General features: G+C 49.4%; 1 protein-coding gene across 12 annotated transcripts in view, besides 4 other annotated features; it reads right to left on the bottom strand.

The window, feature by feature from the left end:
- Nucleotides 1-13,760, bottom strand: part of LIG1 (DNA ligase 1) — a 54,900-nt gene extending 41,140 nt beyond the window's left edge. For 6 of the 12 annotated variants that reach the window (NR_110296.2, NR_135497.2, NM_001289064.2 and 3 more), the window contains exons 1-5: nucleotides 13,657-13,760; nucleotides 8,966-9,039; nucleotides 5,678-5,767; nucleotides 4,788-4,923; nucleotides 430-556 (exon numbers count right to left, since the gene is read on the bottom strand). Coding sequence is in view for 6 of the 12 variants with exons in the window: in NM_001289064.2 (NP_001275993.1) it covers nucleotides 430-556; nucleotides 4,788-4,923; nucleotides 5,678-5,767; nucleotides 8,966-8,982 (370 nt within the window). In the remaining 6 variants the exon portion in view is untranslated. The remainder of the gene's footprint in view (nucleotides 1-429; nucleotides 557-4,787; nucleotides 4,924-5,677; nucleotides 5,768-8,965; nucleotides 9,040-13,656) is intronic. The other 6 variants (NR_135501.2, NR_135499.2, NR_135498.2 and 3 more) reach the window with 1 other exon arrangement.
- Nucleotides 13,199-13,268: a silencer, noted in NCBI's record as "silent region_10872". NCBI's record gives its function as "represses an Ori minimal core promoter by ATAC-STARR-seq in GM12878 lymphoblastoid cells {active_cell/tissue: GM12878}" and the evidence as "EXISTENCE:reporter gene assay evidence [ECO:0000049][PMID:35858748]".
- Nucleotides 13,199-13,901: a biological region, named in NCBI's record as "H3K27ac hESC enhancer GRCh37_chr19:48673083-48673742".
- Nucleotides 13,242-13,901: an enhancer, noted in NCBI's record as "H3K27ac hESC enhancer chr19:48673083-48673742 (GRCh37/hg19 assembly coordinates)". NCBI's record gives its function as "activates a minimal SCP1, AML or CMV promoter by ChIP-STARR-seq in primed H9 embryonic stem cells {active_cell/tissue: H9 hESC(primed)}" and the evidence as "EXISTENCE:reporter gene assay evidence [ECO:0000049][PMID:30033119]".
- Nucleotides 13,299-13,348: a silencer, noted in NCBI's record as "silent region_10873". NCBI's record gives its function as "represses an Ori minimal core promoter by ATAC-STARR-seq in GM12878 lymphoblastoid cells {active_cell/tissue: GM12878}" and the evidence as "EXISTENCE:reporter gene assay evidence [ECO:0000049][PMID:35858748]".

The following is a 13,911-nucleotide window of genomic DNA, read 5'->3' on the forward strand; positions in this document are numbered from 1 at the left end:
ACAACACTAAGACCAGAGCTGTTGTAAGGATGACTACCTTGGATGGGAATCCAAGTGGGGAGAAAGGCAGGCGACTGGCTGGGTGCGGTGGCTCACGCCTGTAATCCCAGCACTTTGGGAGGCTGAGGCAGGCGGATCACGAGGTCAGGAGTTTGAGACCAGCCTGGCCAACATAGTGAAACCCCGTCTCTACTAAAAATACAAAAATTAGCCAGGCATGGTGGCGGGCTCCTGTAGTCCCAGCTACTCAGGAGGCTAAGGCAGGAGAATCGTTTGAACCCGGGAGGCGGAGGTCAGTGAGCCGAGATCATGCCACTGCACTCCAGCCTAGGCAACAGAGCGAGACTATGTCTCAAAAAAAAAAAAAAAAAAAAAAAAGAGAAAAAGAAAGGCAGGCGACTGAAGGGGCAGGGGCCCGTGTGTTCTCACCTGTGCGACGCTTCGGAATCCCTGATGGGGAACTGTCCATGGGAGAGGTGTCAGAGAGGGAAGCATTGTTCTCAGGAGATGTGGCAGGACGGGGCGGGGAGACCTGTGAGCAGTCCAGGGCAGGCTTCTGGAAGAGGAAAGAACAGTTCTAGAGTGAGCGGGGGAAGGAGGGACTCCATTTTCCAAAAGTTGAGAGTAGAGGGGACTGAAACCTCTCTGTCTACCCTCCTTTCTGACCCTATGGTCTCAGCCCTAACTCAGGGGTGGCCTCTTCTCACCTGGGCCATCATCCCGCCCTCCAGTGCAGGATCATGGTCCCATCAAGGACCCCCATAGCTCTTCTGTTTTCTACAGTAACAGAATCTTCGATTCTCCTGCTTCAGCCTCCCAAGTAGCTGGGACTACAGGCCTGCACTACCATGCCTGGCTAATTTTTGTATTTTTAGTAGAGACGGGGTTTCACTATGTTGGCCAGCTCTACACAATGGGATGTCAGGGGAAATGATGTACACCTCTTCGTATAGTTTTATTTTTATTTATTTATTTATTGAGACAGGGTGTCATTCTGTCGCCCAGGCTGGAGTGCAGTGGCGCGATCTCGGCTCACTGCAACCTCTGCCTCCCAGGTTCAAGCAATTCTCCTGCCTCAGCCTCCCGAGCAACTGGGATAACAGGCGCCCGCCACCACGCCCAGCTAATTTTTGTATTTTTTTTATAGAGATGGGGCTTCACCACGTTGGCCAGGCTGGTCTCGAACTCCTGAGCTCAAGCGATCCTCCCGCCTTGGCCTCCAGAGCACTGAGAATACAGGCGTGAGCCCCCGTGCCCAGCCTTCTCTCCATACAGTTTAGATGTTTGTTCCCTCCAGATCGCATGTTGCAATTTGGTCTCCAATGTTGGAGGTATGACCTGGCGGGAGGCATTCAGGTCACGTGGGCAGATCCCTCATGAATGGCTTGTACCCTCCTTGTGGTAGGAACCGAGTTCTTCCTCTCCTGGTTCACATGAGAGCTGGTTGTTTAAAATTCCTCTCTTGCCATGTGACACACCTGCTCCTCCTTCACCTTCCACCATGACTGGAAGCATCCTGAGGCTCTCACCAGAAGCAGATGCTGGCACTATACTTCTTGTATAGCCTGCAGGACCGTGGGCCAAAATAAACCTCTTTTCTTTATAAATTAACTGGTCTGAAGTATTCCTTTATAGCAATGCAAAATGGACTAACATGCATTTCCTGGTTCAAATAACATCCACTTAATGTTGAGTGGGGTGCCCTCCTCTTCCTGTTGGCAGAATATGGATGTTCACAGGGACAAGGGCATCTACAGAGAGCAAACGACAGCACAGAGGAAGCCTGGGCCTCTGACCCTGTGAGACGGTCACATGAATCCCGGACTCTGCACTCAGGAGAGAGAAAAATAAGTTTGCGTCTTGCCTAAGCCACTGCTACCGTGTCTCGGTTTCAACCACTCACTTATCTTCTTACAGGGCCCTGTGCCAGTTATTAAGTGATTTTCTCTCAGCTCCAAACCTGTCACTGTCCAGTCTCCTTCATGCTGCCAGGACCGGGACTCCACAAATCTTCTTCTTGCTCTGGCGCCACCTGGGCATCAGGCAGTGCCAATGGAGGGAAGCAGAGGGCACTGCATGACTGGAGGCACAGCCGGCTTGCCGGGGGCAGCTGCTGGATCCCACTGACAGTTTTTTCTAACATTCACGGGGCTTGCCACGTGGTACCTGATCAGAGACCCTGGCATCTCCCACCCAGTGCTCCCTTCCTGAAAGATCAGAGTTGCAGGCTCTCGGGGCACCTTCTCTAAGCTCAGAGACCTGCCAGCAGTCCCACCACAGAGGTGTGAATTTCAGCTCAAAAGCCACAGGGATGGTCACTGCACCCCACAGTTGCTACCTCCATGATGCCTTAGAGTTAGTTCTCTTTTTAGCCCTTCAGTTACCTATTTAACAACTGCATACCTAGTGACCATCCTTTAAACTCCCTCTGTTCAAATCACTGGTATGGTTTCTGTCTCCCATTGAGACCCTGATGGAGATACAGGTCTCAGATAATTTTTTTTTTTTTTTGAGATGGAGTCTTGCCCTGTTGTTCAGGCTGGAGTGCAATGGCACGATCTCGGCTCACCACAACCTCCATCTCCCAGGTTCAAGCAATTCTCCTGCCTCAGCCTCCCAAGTAGCTGGGACTACAGGCCCGTGCCACCATGCCCGGCTAACTTTTGTAGCAGAGATGAGGTTTCACTATGTTGGCCTGGCTGCTCTCGAACTTCTGACCTCGTGATCCACCCGCCTTGGCCTCCCAAAGTGTTGGGATTACAGGCGTGAGCCATCATGCCTGGCCAGATGAATATTTTAAACACTGCCCAGGACTAAATGATCTCTGCCTCTCTTCTGCCCAAAACTCTTCCTAGCTCCCCAGAAGCCTCAGGGTAAAGTCTAAGCTCCAAAAGAGATCTCTATTCTAATACCTGGAACCTGGGAATATGTTAGGTTACATGGCAAAGGGTAATTGAGGTTGCTAATCAGCTGACCTTCCGATAGTGGGATTACCCTGGACTATCCAGGTGGGCCTGATATAGTCACAGGGGCCTTCAAAGTGGAAGAGGGTGGCAGGAGAGGAAAGTCAGGGTGAGATGTGGCCACAGAAGAAAGGCACAGAAGGAGGCAATGCCACTTGCTTATTTATTTATTTATTTATTTATTTTTTGAGACAGAGTCTTGCTCTGTCACCCAGGCTGGAGTGCAGTGGCACGATCTTGGCTCACTGCAAGCTCCGCCTCCCGGGTTCACGCCATTCTCCTGCCTCATCCTCCCGAGTAGCTGGGACTACAGGCGCCCGCCACCACGCCCAGCTAATTTTTTGTATTTTTGATAGAGACATGGTTTCACCATGTTAGCCAGGATGGTCTCAATCTCCGGACCTTGTGATCTGCCTGCCTCGGCCTCCCAAAGTGCTGGGATTACAGGCGTGAGCCACCACACCCAGCCACTTGCTTTGAAAACGGAGAAAAGGGGATCTCTAGCAGCTGGAAAAGGCAATTCCTGGATTCTCCCCCAGAGCCCCCAGAAATGAACGCAGACCTGCTGACACCTTGAGTTTAGCCCAGTGCAACCCATTTGAGACTCACGACTCCCAAACTGTAAGACAATAAACTGACACTGTTTTAAGCCACTGCGTTTGTGGTCAATTGTTATGGCAGCAAATGGGAAGCTAACATAGGTGGTGAGGAAAGTTTCGCTGAGGAAGTGATATCTGAGCAAAGCATGGAAGAAAGCAGGGGACTGAGCCAGGCGTGTATCTGGGAAAGAGAGTTTTAGGCTGGGAAAGAAGGTAGTGGCCCAGAGGTGGAAGTGCACCTGGTGGGTGTGGGAAGCCAGGATGGAGCGAGCTGAGGAGGAGCTGTGGATGCGGCTGCAGATGTGATGGGCGGGGGAAGAGAGGAGCAGCAGGAGGGGCCTGGGAGGTTTCCACAAGGCCTGGCTTTGGCCTGTGGTGGTAATACCAGGGGGTTTGGGCAGGGAGTCACAGGACCTGACCTCACCACTGACAGAATAAGCAGCACCACGCTTTGGACATCATCCACAAAGCAATGAACAAGCATTAAATGACTTAAACAGGGGAAGAGAGTGGTCCAATGTATTTGGAGAAGTTAAAAAGCCCTCTGACCACAGGAGAGGCTAGATATACTTTTGAACCCTTATTTTTTTGCTTTTTTTTTTTTGAAGCAAGGTCTTGCTCTGTCACCCCGGCTGGAGTACAGTGGTACAATCACAGTTCACTGCAGCCTTGAACACCCGGGCTCAAGCGATCCTCCTGCCTCAGCCTCTCAAGGAGATAGCACCACAGGCATGCACCACCACACCTGGCTAATTTTTAAAACATTTTTTTGTAGAGATGGGGTCTCGCTATGTTGCCCAGCCTGGTCTCGAACTCCTGGCCTCAAGTGATCCTCCCACGTTGGCCTCCCAACGTGCTGGGATTACAGACGTAAGCCATTGTGCTGGGCCTTGAGCCCTTGTTTTACCATCAGGCATTATTCTCAGATCTGTATGTAAATCGACTCATTTCATCTTCCCAGTCACCCTATGAGGAAGGTGTTACCAGGAGCTGCATGTTACAGTTGAGGCATCCAAGACCTAACGTGGTGAAGGAGCCCACCCGAGGTCCTAGGGCAGGGGCAATTAGGACCAGGTTGTGTCTGCCCCCGACACAACCAGGAAACACATCTACCTCTCCCGGGCAATTTCTCCAGAATTCTCCTGAACAGCTGCTGCACTCTGTTCCAAAGGTTAATGGGAATTAGTTTCTTCTGGTAAAAATGGGCAGGGTGATGGGGACCTACCTGGCCTTTAGCAGGGCTAAGGGCTTCATCCTCCTCTTCCCCTTCGCTGCCCAGGACCCGGGCCGCCTTCCTCCCTGGCCTCTTCACCGGAGAGTCACTCTCGGACACCACTCCATTCCACTCCTTCAGTGCCGCCCTGGAAGGTGGGGAAATGGGGGTGTAAAGGGGCGACTACAGCAGGCAGAGTGGGGGCACTGCCCGCAAACACTTTGGTTTCTTTGCTGTTTCCTTCCCTTCCTTTCAAGCATCCAATGAACATTTTCTGGTTGTCTCCTCAGCAAATCTCATCATTTCATCCATCAGTGCATTAATCCACCCGCCCACTCATCCACTCACCCACCCATCACACATCTCTGGAAGTCTCCAGAGTGCCTGCCCTGTGATGGGTGATGCTGAGGAGCAAATGGAGTCCCTGCCTAAGGTTGCCATTGGTCTCCAGCATCTATTGGGATGCCTTTTTTTTTTTTTTTTTGAGATGGAATCTTGCTCTGTCGCCCAGGCTGGAGTGCAGTGGGCCGAGATCACACCATTGCACTCCAGCCTGGGTGAGAGTGAGACTCCATTTCAAAAAAAAAAGAGTACTGTTGTCTTCTACTTAGATGAGACAGCATCAAGACGTGGCCAGTGGCCAGCGGCCAGCTTCTCTGCATTATGGAGAATGTCTGGTTCTAGAACGAGGCCAAGACCTGCAGAAACAGAGACGTACAGACAACTCCGAGGCCCTGGATCCAGCTGTGCCTGCAGCTGCTCTTGCTCTTGGACTTCTGGCCACCTGGCTGAAAAAGTTTTTTGGGCCCCAAGACATTTTGCATTAGGTTTGAACACTTGCAACCAAGACAATCCTGACTGCTAAAGGAAAAAATTCACCATATCCCAGCCCTGTGACATACTTTGGAGGGGGCTCCGTCTCTCTGCTGCTATTGGATGCCTCCTTCTCAGGCTTCTTTGCTTTACCCTCTTTCTTGGGGTGGAAAAATGACCTAGAGGAGCATAAAAGGGGGTAAAAAAAGGAGAATAACAGCACCAATACCCTGCCTATCTATGCTGTATCCTATAACTTCCTTTTTTTTTTTTTTTTTTGAGACAGAGTCTCGCTCTGTAGCCCAGGCTGGAGTGCAATGGCGCAATCTCAGCTCACTGCAAGCTCCGCCTCCTGGGTGCATGCCATTCTCCTGCCTCAGCCTCCCAAGTAGCTGGAACTACAGGCACCCGCCACCATGCCCAGCTAATTTTTTGTATTTTTAGTAGAGATGGGGTATCACCGTGTTAGCCAGGATGGTCTCGATCTCCTGACCTTGTGATCTGCTTGGCCTCCCAATGTGCTGGGATTACAGGCATAAGCCACCGCGCCCGGCCGCATCCTATAACTTCTAACACCATTTCCATCTCAGCACATAACAGAGAATTTCAAATAAGCCCTTTAACTTAACTGATAAGGAAACTCAGACTCAGACAAAGGAGGCAACACTAATTTTTCTGCCCTAACGCACCTGCAAGATATGATACATCCCAAGTTTTATTCAACAAATATTAACTATGCACTTTTTAAATCTTTTTTTTTTAGACAGACTCTCGCTCTGTTGCCCAGGCTAGAGTGCAATGGTGTGATCTCGGCTCACTGCAACTTCTGCCTCCCAGGTTCAAGCGATTCTCCTGCCTCAGCCTCCCGAGTAGCTGGGATTACAGGTGCCCACCACAACGCCCAGCTAATTTTTTTTGTATTTTTGGTAGACACGGGTTTTCTCCATGTTGGCCAGGCCAGTCTCAAACTCCTGACCTTAGGTGATCCACCCACCCTGGCCTCCCAAAGTGTTGGGATTACAGGCATGTGCCCCCGCGCCCAGCCTAAAAAAATTTTTTTTTTTGAGATGGAGTTTTCACTCTTGTTGCCCAAGGGTGGAGTGCAATGGTGCAATCTCGGCTCACTGCAACCTCGGCCTCCCAGTTTCAAGTGTTTCTCCTGCCTCAGCCTCCTGAGTAGCTGAGATTACAGGTGGCCGCCACCACGCCCGGCTAATTTTTTTCATTTAGTAGAGAAGGGGTTTCACCATGTTGGTCAGGCTGGTCTCGAACTCCTGATCTCAGGTGATCCTCCTGCCTCCCAAAGTGCTGGGATTACAGGTGTGAGCCACTGCGCCCGGCCTACCTAAGCACTTATTATGTGCCAGGGCCTGTTCTGGGCCTGAGGGGTTTGGCAGTGACCCAGACACACGAAGTTCCTGCCTTCAAGAAGCTAACACTCTGGTGAAGGGCAGAAATATTAAGCAAACAACTAAATATAAAATGTTGGGGCCTGGCATGGTGGCTCACACCTGTAATCCCAACACTTTGGGAGGCCGAGGTGGGCGGATCACGAGGTCAGGAGATCAAGACCATCCTGGCTAACACGGTGAAACCCTGCTTCTACTAAAAATACAAAAAAAATTAGCTGGGTGTGGTGGCAGGCGCCTGTAGTCCCAGCTACTCAGGAGGCTGAGGCAGGGGAATGGCCTGAACCTGGGAGGCAGAGCTTACAGTGAGCCAAGATCGCGCCACTGCACTCCAGCCTGGGCGACAGAGCAAGACTCTGTCTCAAAAAAAAAAAAAAAAAAAATGTTGGAAGGCGTGAACATTAAAAAAAAAATCTGGTGAAATCTGAATAATAAAGTATGGAGTTCAGTTAAGAGTAATGTACTGACATTAGTATCTCAGTGGTGAGAAACGGATCATAGTAATGTATGATATTGACAATGGAAACTGGCCAAGGGTATACAGGACCTCTCTGTACTGTCTTTGCAACTTTCCTGTACCTCTAAAATTATTCCAGAATAAGAGGTTTATTTAATCTTCAAAAAGAAAAGGAAAAATCATGCAAAAGCCAGTGGACAGAAAGCAATCGAAGGCACCATCAGCCCTGGAGAGACAATCCCCAGATTCCTCATCACGGGAGAAAAACGGAACCCAGCATTTGTGTAAGCCACTACCGCCCAGGTTTCTGGGATGGATGCCCTTGTCTGGGTCTCTCTACCATCCATTTTTTCCTCCTGGTAACAGCCCCTCCGTTTTCCTCTTGGGATGCTTCTTACCCCACATTCTCTCAGTACACACGATTTGAGTGGGCTGGCCCTTTTGCCTGTGACCAGGGGTGGACACGTGATCCAGGCTGCATCCCTGTGGCTGGTTCAGGGATAGGTATGTGGCCCAGGCTGGGCCAGTGAAACTGGGCTCTAACACCCTCTTTCCAAGGGGACCGCTAAGAGGGGAGAGCCCGCCTGAGGGTGAGGACAACCTCAAGGACAGTAGAGCTGAACAATGGAGAGAGACAGATTCCCAGGGAGGAAGTTTTGGCAACTGGATCGAACCAAGCCTGAGGCTGTTTACTCCAGCAGGTTTCAATGATATAAGTCAAGTCATGCCCTTTCTTGTCTTCCTGAAGCCGGACTGCATTAACACGAGGTTTCTCAACCTAGACACTATTGACATGTTGGGCCTGATGGTTCTGTGTTGTTGGGGGGGCTGTCCTATGAATTGAAGGATGTTTAGCAGCATGCCTGGCTTTTAGCCACTAGATGCCAATGGCAAACCCTCTGTCCCTAGGTTGTAACAACCAAAAATATCTCCAGACACTGGCCGGGCGCCGTGGCTCACGCCTGAAATCCCAGCACTCTGGGAGGCCGAGGTGGGCGGATCACGAGGTCAGGAGTTTGAGACCAGCCTGACCAACGTGGTGAAACCCCGTCTCTACTAAAAATACAAAAATTAGCCAGGCGTGGTGGCACGTGCCTATAATCCCAGCTACTCAGGAGGCTGAGGCAGGAGAATCACTTGAACTCATGAGGCGGAGGTTGCAGTGAGCCGAGATTGCGCCACTGTACTCCAGCCTGGGTGACAGAGCAAGACTCCAACTCAAAAAAAAAAAATCTCCAGACGCTGCCAGATGTTCCCTGGGGAGCAAAATTGCTGCTGACTGAGAACCACTGCGTTAGGGTTTCTGCTCCTTGCAACTAAAAACTGTTGTTCAATACACTGTCTTCCATATCCCACGGCTCATTTTCCATACTACTTGACTCCTGGAAATTCCAACTCAAAATCTAACGTAAGAGTTTTTGTTTGTTTGTTTGTTTTTTTAAGTACAGATTTAGAGAAAGAAACAGAGGACTTGGAGAAGGAAAGACTCAGGGGCAAGGGAGGGTGCTCACATGATACTTCGCTGCATGTTGGCGTCAGAATTCTCCCTTCCTGTCCAGCACTTTTCTTCGTCTGTCAGCTGCTCCTGGAACAGAAATCCAAACACTTGTTGAGGTGATTGGTTGTGCAGAGATCTAAACACACATAAAACCCTTTCTTTAAGAAAGAAAGAAAAAAAAAAACAGAAACATGAATTTCCCCTTCAAAAAGAAACTCCTGTTTTTATGAACCAAAATAATTTGCTGGTGAGATTTACTGGTGCAGAATAAAAGCTCCAAATCAGAGAAAAAGATAAGAGGCCTCCTTTACCATAAGAAGACTGTTTTTCATCTAATATGAGGAATAGACTGAGGACCTGAAATGGGTTTTTTTGGAGTTAAGTTTAAAGGTTAGTGAAAAATTGTTTTAAGGTGATGACATAATTCCGTGAAACAACTGTGGAAGCTTATAAAATTGTACCCGCTGGTCTACATAAATTAGCTCTTGGGCAGTTTCTAAGGTATGCTGTTATTTCAAACAAAGGGCAGAATATCACAGAGTGTGTGCTACTGAACTGTGTAAAAGAGAAAGGCTATAGGTCAGGCACAGTAGCTCACGCCTGTCATCCCAGCACTTTGGGAGGCCGAGGTGGGTGGATCACTTGAGGTCAGGAGTTCAAGACCAGCCTGGCTAACATGGCAAAACCCTGTCTCTACTAAAAATACAAAAATTAGCCAGGTGCGGTGGCACGCGCCTGTATTCCCAGCTACTCTGGAGGCTGAGGCAGGAGAATCGCTTGAACCCGGGAGGTAGAGGCTGCAGTGACCCGAGATTGTGCTACTGCACTCCAGCCTGGACAAGAGTGAAACTCCATCTCAAAAAACAAAAACAAAAGAAAGACTATAAATGTATCCACATATCTTGTATATGTACAGAACATCTCAGTTGGAAGACAAAAAACTGGTAATGCTGTCGCCTCAGGAGGGACAGACGCTGGAGGGAGATTTTTTAATATGCATGCTTTTGCAGGCAGAACAATTGGAATACGTTACCCCTTCACAATATATTTTTAAAAATTAAATACTTTTTTAAAAAGTCTGTTATTTAATGAAATCAATAACAGTCACTGGGGCTTCCACAGTTTAGAGTAACTCTAATGAAAGGGTTCCTAGGCCGGGCGTGGTGGCTGCTGCCCATAATCCCAGCATTTTGGGAGGCCGAAGCGGGTGGATCGCCTGAGGTCAGGAGTTCGAGACCAGCCTGGCCAGCATGGTGAAACCTCATCTCTACTAAAAATACAAAAATTAGCCAGGTATGGTGGTGCACACCTGTAATCCCAGCTAGTGGGGAGGCTGAGGCAGGAGAATCACTTGAACCCAGGAAGTGGAGGTTGCAGTGAGATCATGCACTCTAGCCTGGGCAACAGAGTAACACTCTGTCTCAAAAAAAAAAAAAAAGAAAGAAAAAGAAAGAAAAAGAAAAAGAAAAGAAAGGGTTCTTAATCTGGGGTCCACAAAACCCAGGAGTCCAAGAGCAGAACTCAAGTGGTCTATGAAATTTGACAGGAAAGAAATTACGACTTTATTCTTGTAAACTTCTAATTGGAACTGAGCCTTTCCTTCCATTATAAATATTAAAGATATAAAAAATTATAAATTTTCTATATCTTTAATATTTATAATGGAAGAAAATAAATTACACATTATAATTATGTAATTATAATTATTTACATTATATTTCCTTCCACTATGAATATATTTTTTAAAAAAGGACTAGCAGGACCTCTGCGTGGATTGCTTGAGTTGAGACCAGCTCAGACCAGCCTGGGCAACAGAAATGGTTTTCTTTGACTTTCCCTTCCTTTGCACAGAAATCTTCTTCAACCCATGGGGTCCCCTTTCGTTTTCTGGAATCAGTACTCTCTGTCCCGCACCACACGCCTCTAAGTCTCCACTACTCTCTACAGCCTTGGCCGCCACATGTTGGCACCACAACTCAAACTCAATTTTGGAATCAAAAAACTCAGTAGGCCGGCACTGTGGCTCACGCCTGTACTCCCAGCACTTTGGAAGGCTGAGACAGGCGGATCACGAGGTCAGGAGTTCAAGACCAGCCTGGCCCGCATGGTGAAACCCCATCTCTACTAAAAATGCAAAAAATTAGCCAGGCATGGTGGTGCCAGCCTGTAATCCCAACTACTCAGGAGGCTGAGGCAGGAGAATCACTTGATCCCAGGAGGCAGAGGTTGCAGTGAGCTGAGACTGCACCACTGGACTCCAGCCTGGGCGACAGAGCGAGACCCCGTCTTAAAAAAAAAAAAAAAAAAAAAAAAACAAACAAAAAAGAAACTCAGCAATTTCCAAACAGAGTTTCTCAGGGCCAGTTGGGGAGCAGGAAGTAAGCAATGCTTCAACCAAACAGTTCACACAGAAAGCAGGTTAGGGACTTAGCCACCAAAATCCTGAGGGCAAAGGAGAAAACTATTACGATCCCTCCTGAGTGCTCAACTGCCTAGGTACTTGACATTCTCAATTATACTGACTCTCCACAACAACTCTGTTACAGAAACTAAGGCACAGAGGGGTTTTCAAAGGAACTTAACCTGCATCTATAGTACGTTCCACCCCAGGTCGGCCTGCTCCACAGCTCACCTCTTAACCACCAGACTGAGTTGCAAGGGAAGGAGAAATACATAAGCGTTTACTGGGAAGCCTACTCTATGCCTGACAGGCTGATCACATTCTCAAATACCCTCAATCCTCAAGTCAGCCCTCCAAGACAGGTGAGATCATCCCCACTTTATAGATGAAGGTAATGAGGACAGAGGAACATAGCTGGGGTTCAGGCAAGGCTTCAAAACCCGGTGTGGCTGGCTCCAAAGCCCACGTTCCTTTCTCCTTACCACGGTACTCAAGGCTGGCTTCTCAACTCTGTGTACTGCTGAGTTGGGGGGAACAAACTGGTTGATGCCTCTGGAGGACCACCTGGCGTCTCTATCGGAACGGCAACCCCACTTCTGTGTATTTGGCCCACAGAGACCCTCACAGGTGGACCAAGTGAGGCACAAAGTTACCTGCTGCAGCACTAACTGTAATGAGAGAAGACTGGAAACTGGTGGAATGTCTACCCTTAGGGAACTGGTTCCCTCATTACTGGAATACCATATGGTAGAATATTGTTCAGGGTTAAAATTAAATGAATGATGGATAAAAGGTATAGGAGTTTTTTGGGGGGATGATAAAAATATCCTAAAATCGATTATGGTAATAACTGCACAACTCAGCGCATACACTGAAAACCACTGACTTGTACACTTTAAATGGGCACTTTAAATACACTGAAATACACTTTAAATACACTGAAAACCGCTGACTTGTACATTTTAAATGGGCAAAATTGTACACTTTAAATGGGCAAACTGTATAATTGTGAATTATATCTCAATAAAGCGGTTACCAAAATGAAGAGATAATGACAGGAAAAATATCAAGTAAGGATGAAACAGTACTCAGTAATAAAAAGAAACGAAGCACTGATACAAGCAACAACTTGGGTGGACCTCCAGGGCATTGTGCAGAGTAGAAAAAAGGTAACATCCTAATAATATATGATTCCATTTACATAACAATCTCCGAATGACAAAACTAGAGATGGTGAACACATTAGCGGTTGCCAGGGGCCTGGGGAGGAGTTCTTATGTGGAGAGGGAACTGTTCTATATCACAATTACGATGGGGGTTACACAAATCTATACAAGGAATCAAGCTGCACGGGCACACAGATGCACAATCACACTCACACCACACAAACTGGTGAAAACTGAACAAGGTCTGTAATCTAGTTAACAGAACTGTATTGATGTCAATTTCCTGGTTTCGATATTGGGACTACATAAGATGTCACCATTAGGGGAAGATGGATATACTCTTTTCACAACTTCCTTGAATCTATAATTATTTCAAAATAAAAAGTAAAAACAAGAGGTAAGCTCCATCCCTTTATCAAGCATACATTAGGCCAGACGTCTCCCCATTCAGATGATTCTCCATCTTTTACGAGCCCTTTACCTAGACCTGGACCTTACCACTGACCTCTCCCTGACACCACCCATCTCCCTCCAGTAGGGCCCACTCCTTCCAGGTGATGCTGCTGCCCGCGATTTACCTTCTTCTAGCCCCGCCCCCTCAGCACTTCCAGGTGGCCCCCGCCCCCTCAGCACTTCCGGTTCCCAGCCAGCCCCACCCTTGGCACCTCCCCCTTCCAGGTGGCCCCGCCCACACGCAATCTTTTCCCCGGCCCCGCCCCTTAGCTCCCTTCAGCCCCTCCCCCTCCCAGATAGCCCCGCCCCCTCGGGGGGCCTTCCGATTTCCAGCTGGCCCCGCCCACACAGTTTTCCCCCCCCCGGCCCCGCCCCTCAGTTCCATTTGGCCTCTCCCCTTTCCAGGTGAACTCGCACCTCAAGGCCTCTTCTCAGAGGACCTGTCCAACTGTCTCTGTCTCTCGTCTACCCTCTACCTGGCCCCCCTCCCTCTGGGAGACACCTCTCTGCACTCTCCGGCGGCCCGCAGCCCGCGCTCTTCCGTCTCCACCGCGCTCTCGGCAGCCTCAGCGTCCCCACGCCCACTCCTCTGCAGACACCCCGACATGGCGAAGCATAGGCCCCAAGCATTCGGCGCACCCGCCGCCCTCCGCCTCCCATCTGCTTGCGGACGGCCCCACTTGCCTTGCGTTGGTCCCGCGCGCCGCTGCCCGGGCAACACACTCAGATCCGCCAGGCGCGCCTCTGCAGTCCCAAGTTCGCGCCACGGCATTCGCGCGCAGACGTCTGCGGGCGGGGGCGGGGCAGAGCCTAGGGGCGGGACCTGGGCACCGTCCGCACCGCCGCCGTCGCGCGGAGGACACTGGGAGTCGTAGTCTCCCGAATGGGAGGAGGGCGGGAAAAGGGGTGAAGTGGGGCGAGCCCTCCCGCAGAGCACAC

This window comes from Homo sapiens, chromosome 19 (assembly GCF_000001405.40).
Source record: "Homo sapiens chromosome 19, GRCh38.p14 Primary Assembly".
Classification (NCBI taxonomy): domain Eukaryota; kingdom Metazoa; phylum Chordata; class Mammalia; order Primates; family Hominidae; genus Homo; species Homo sapiens.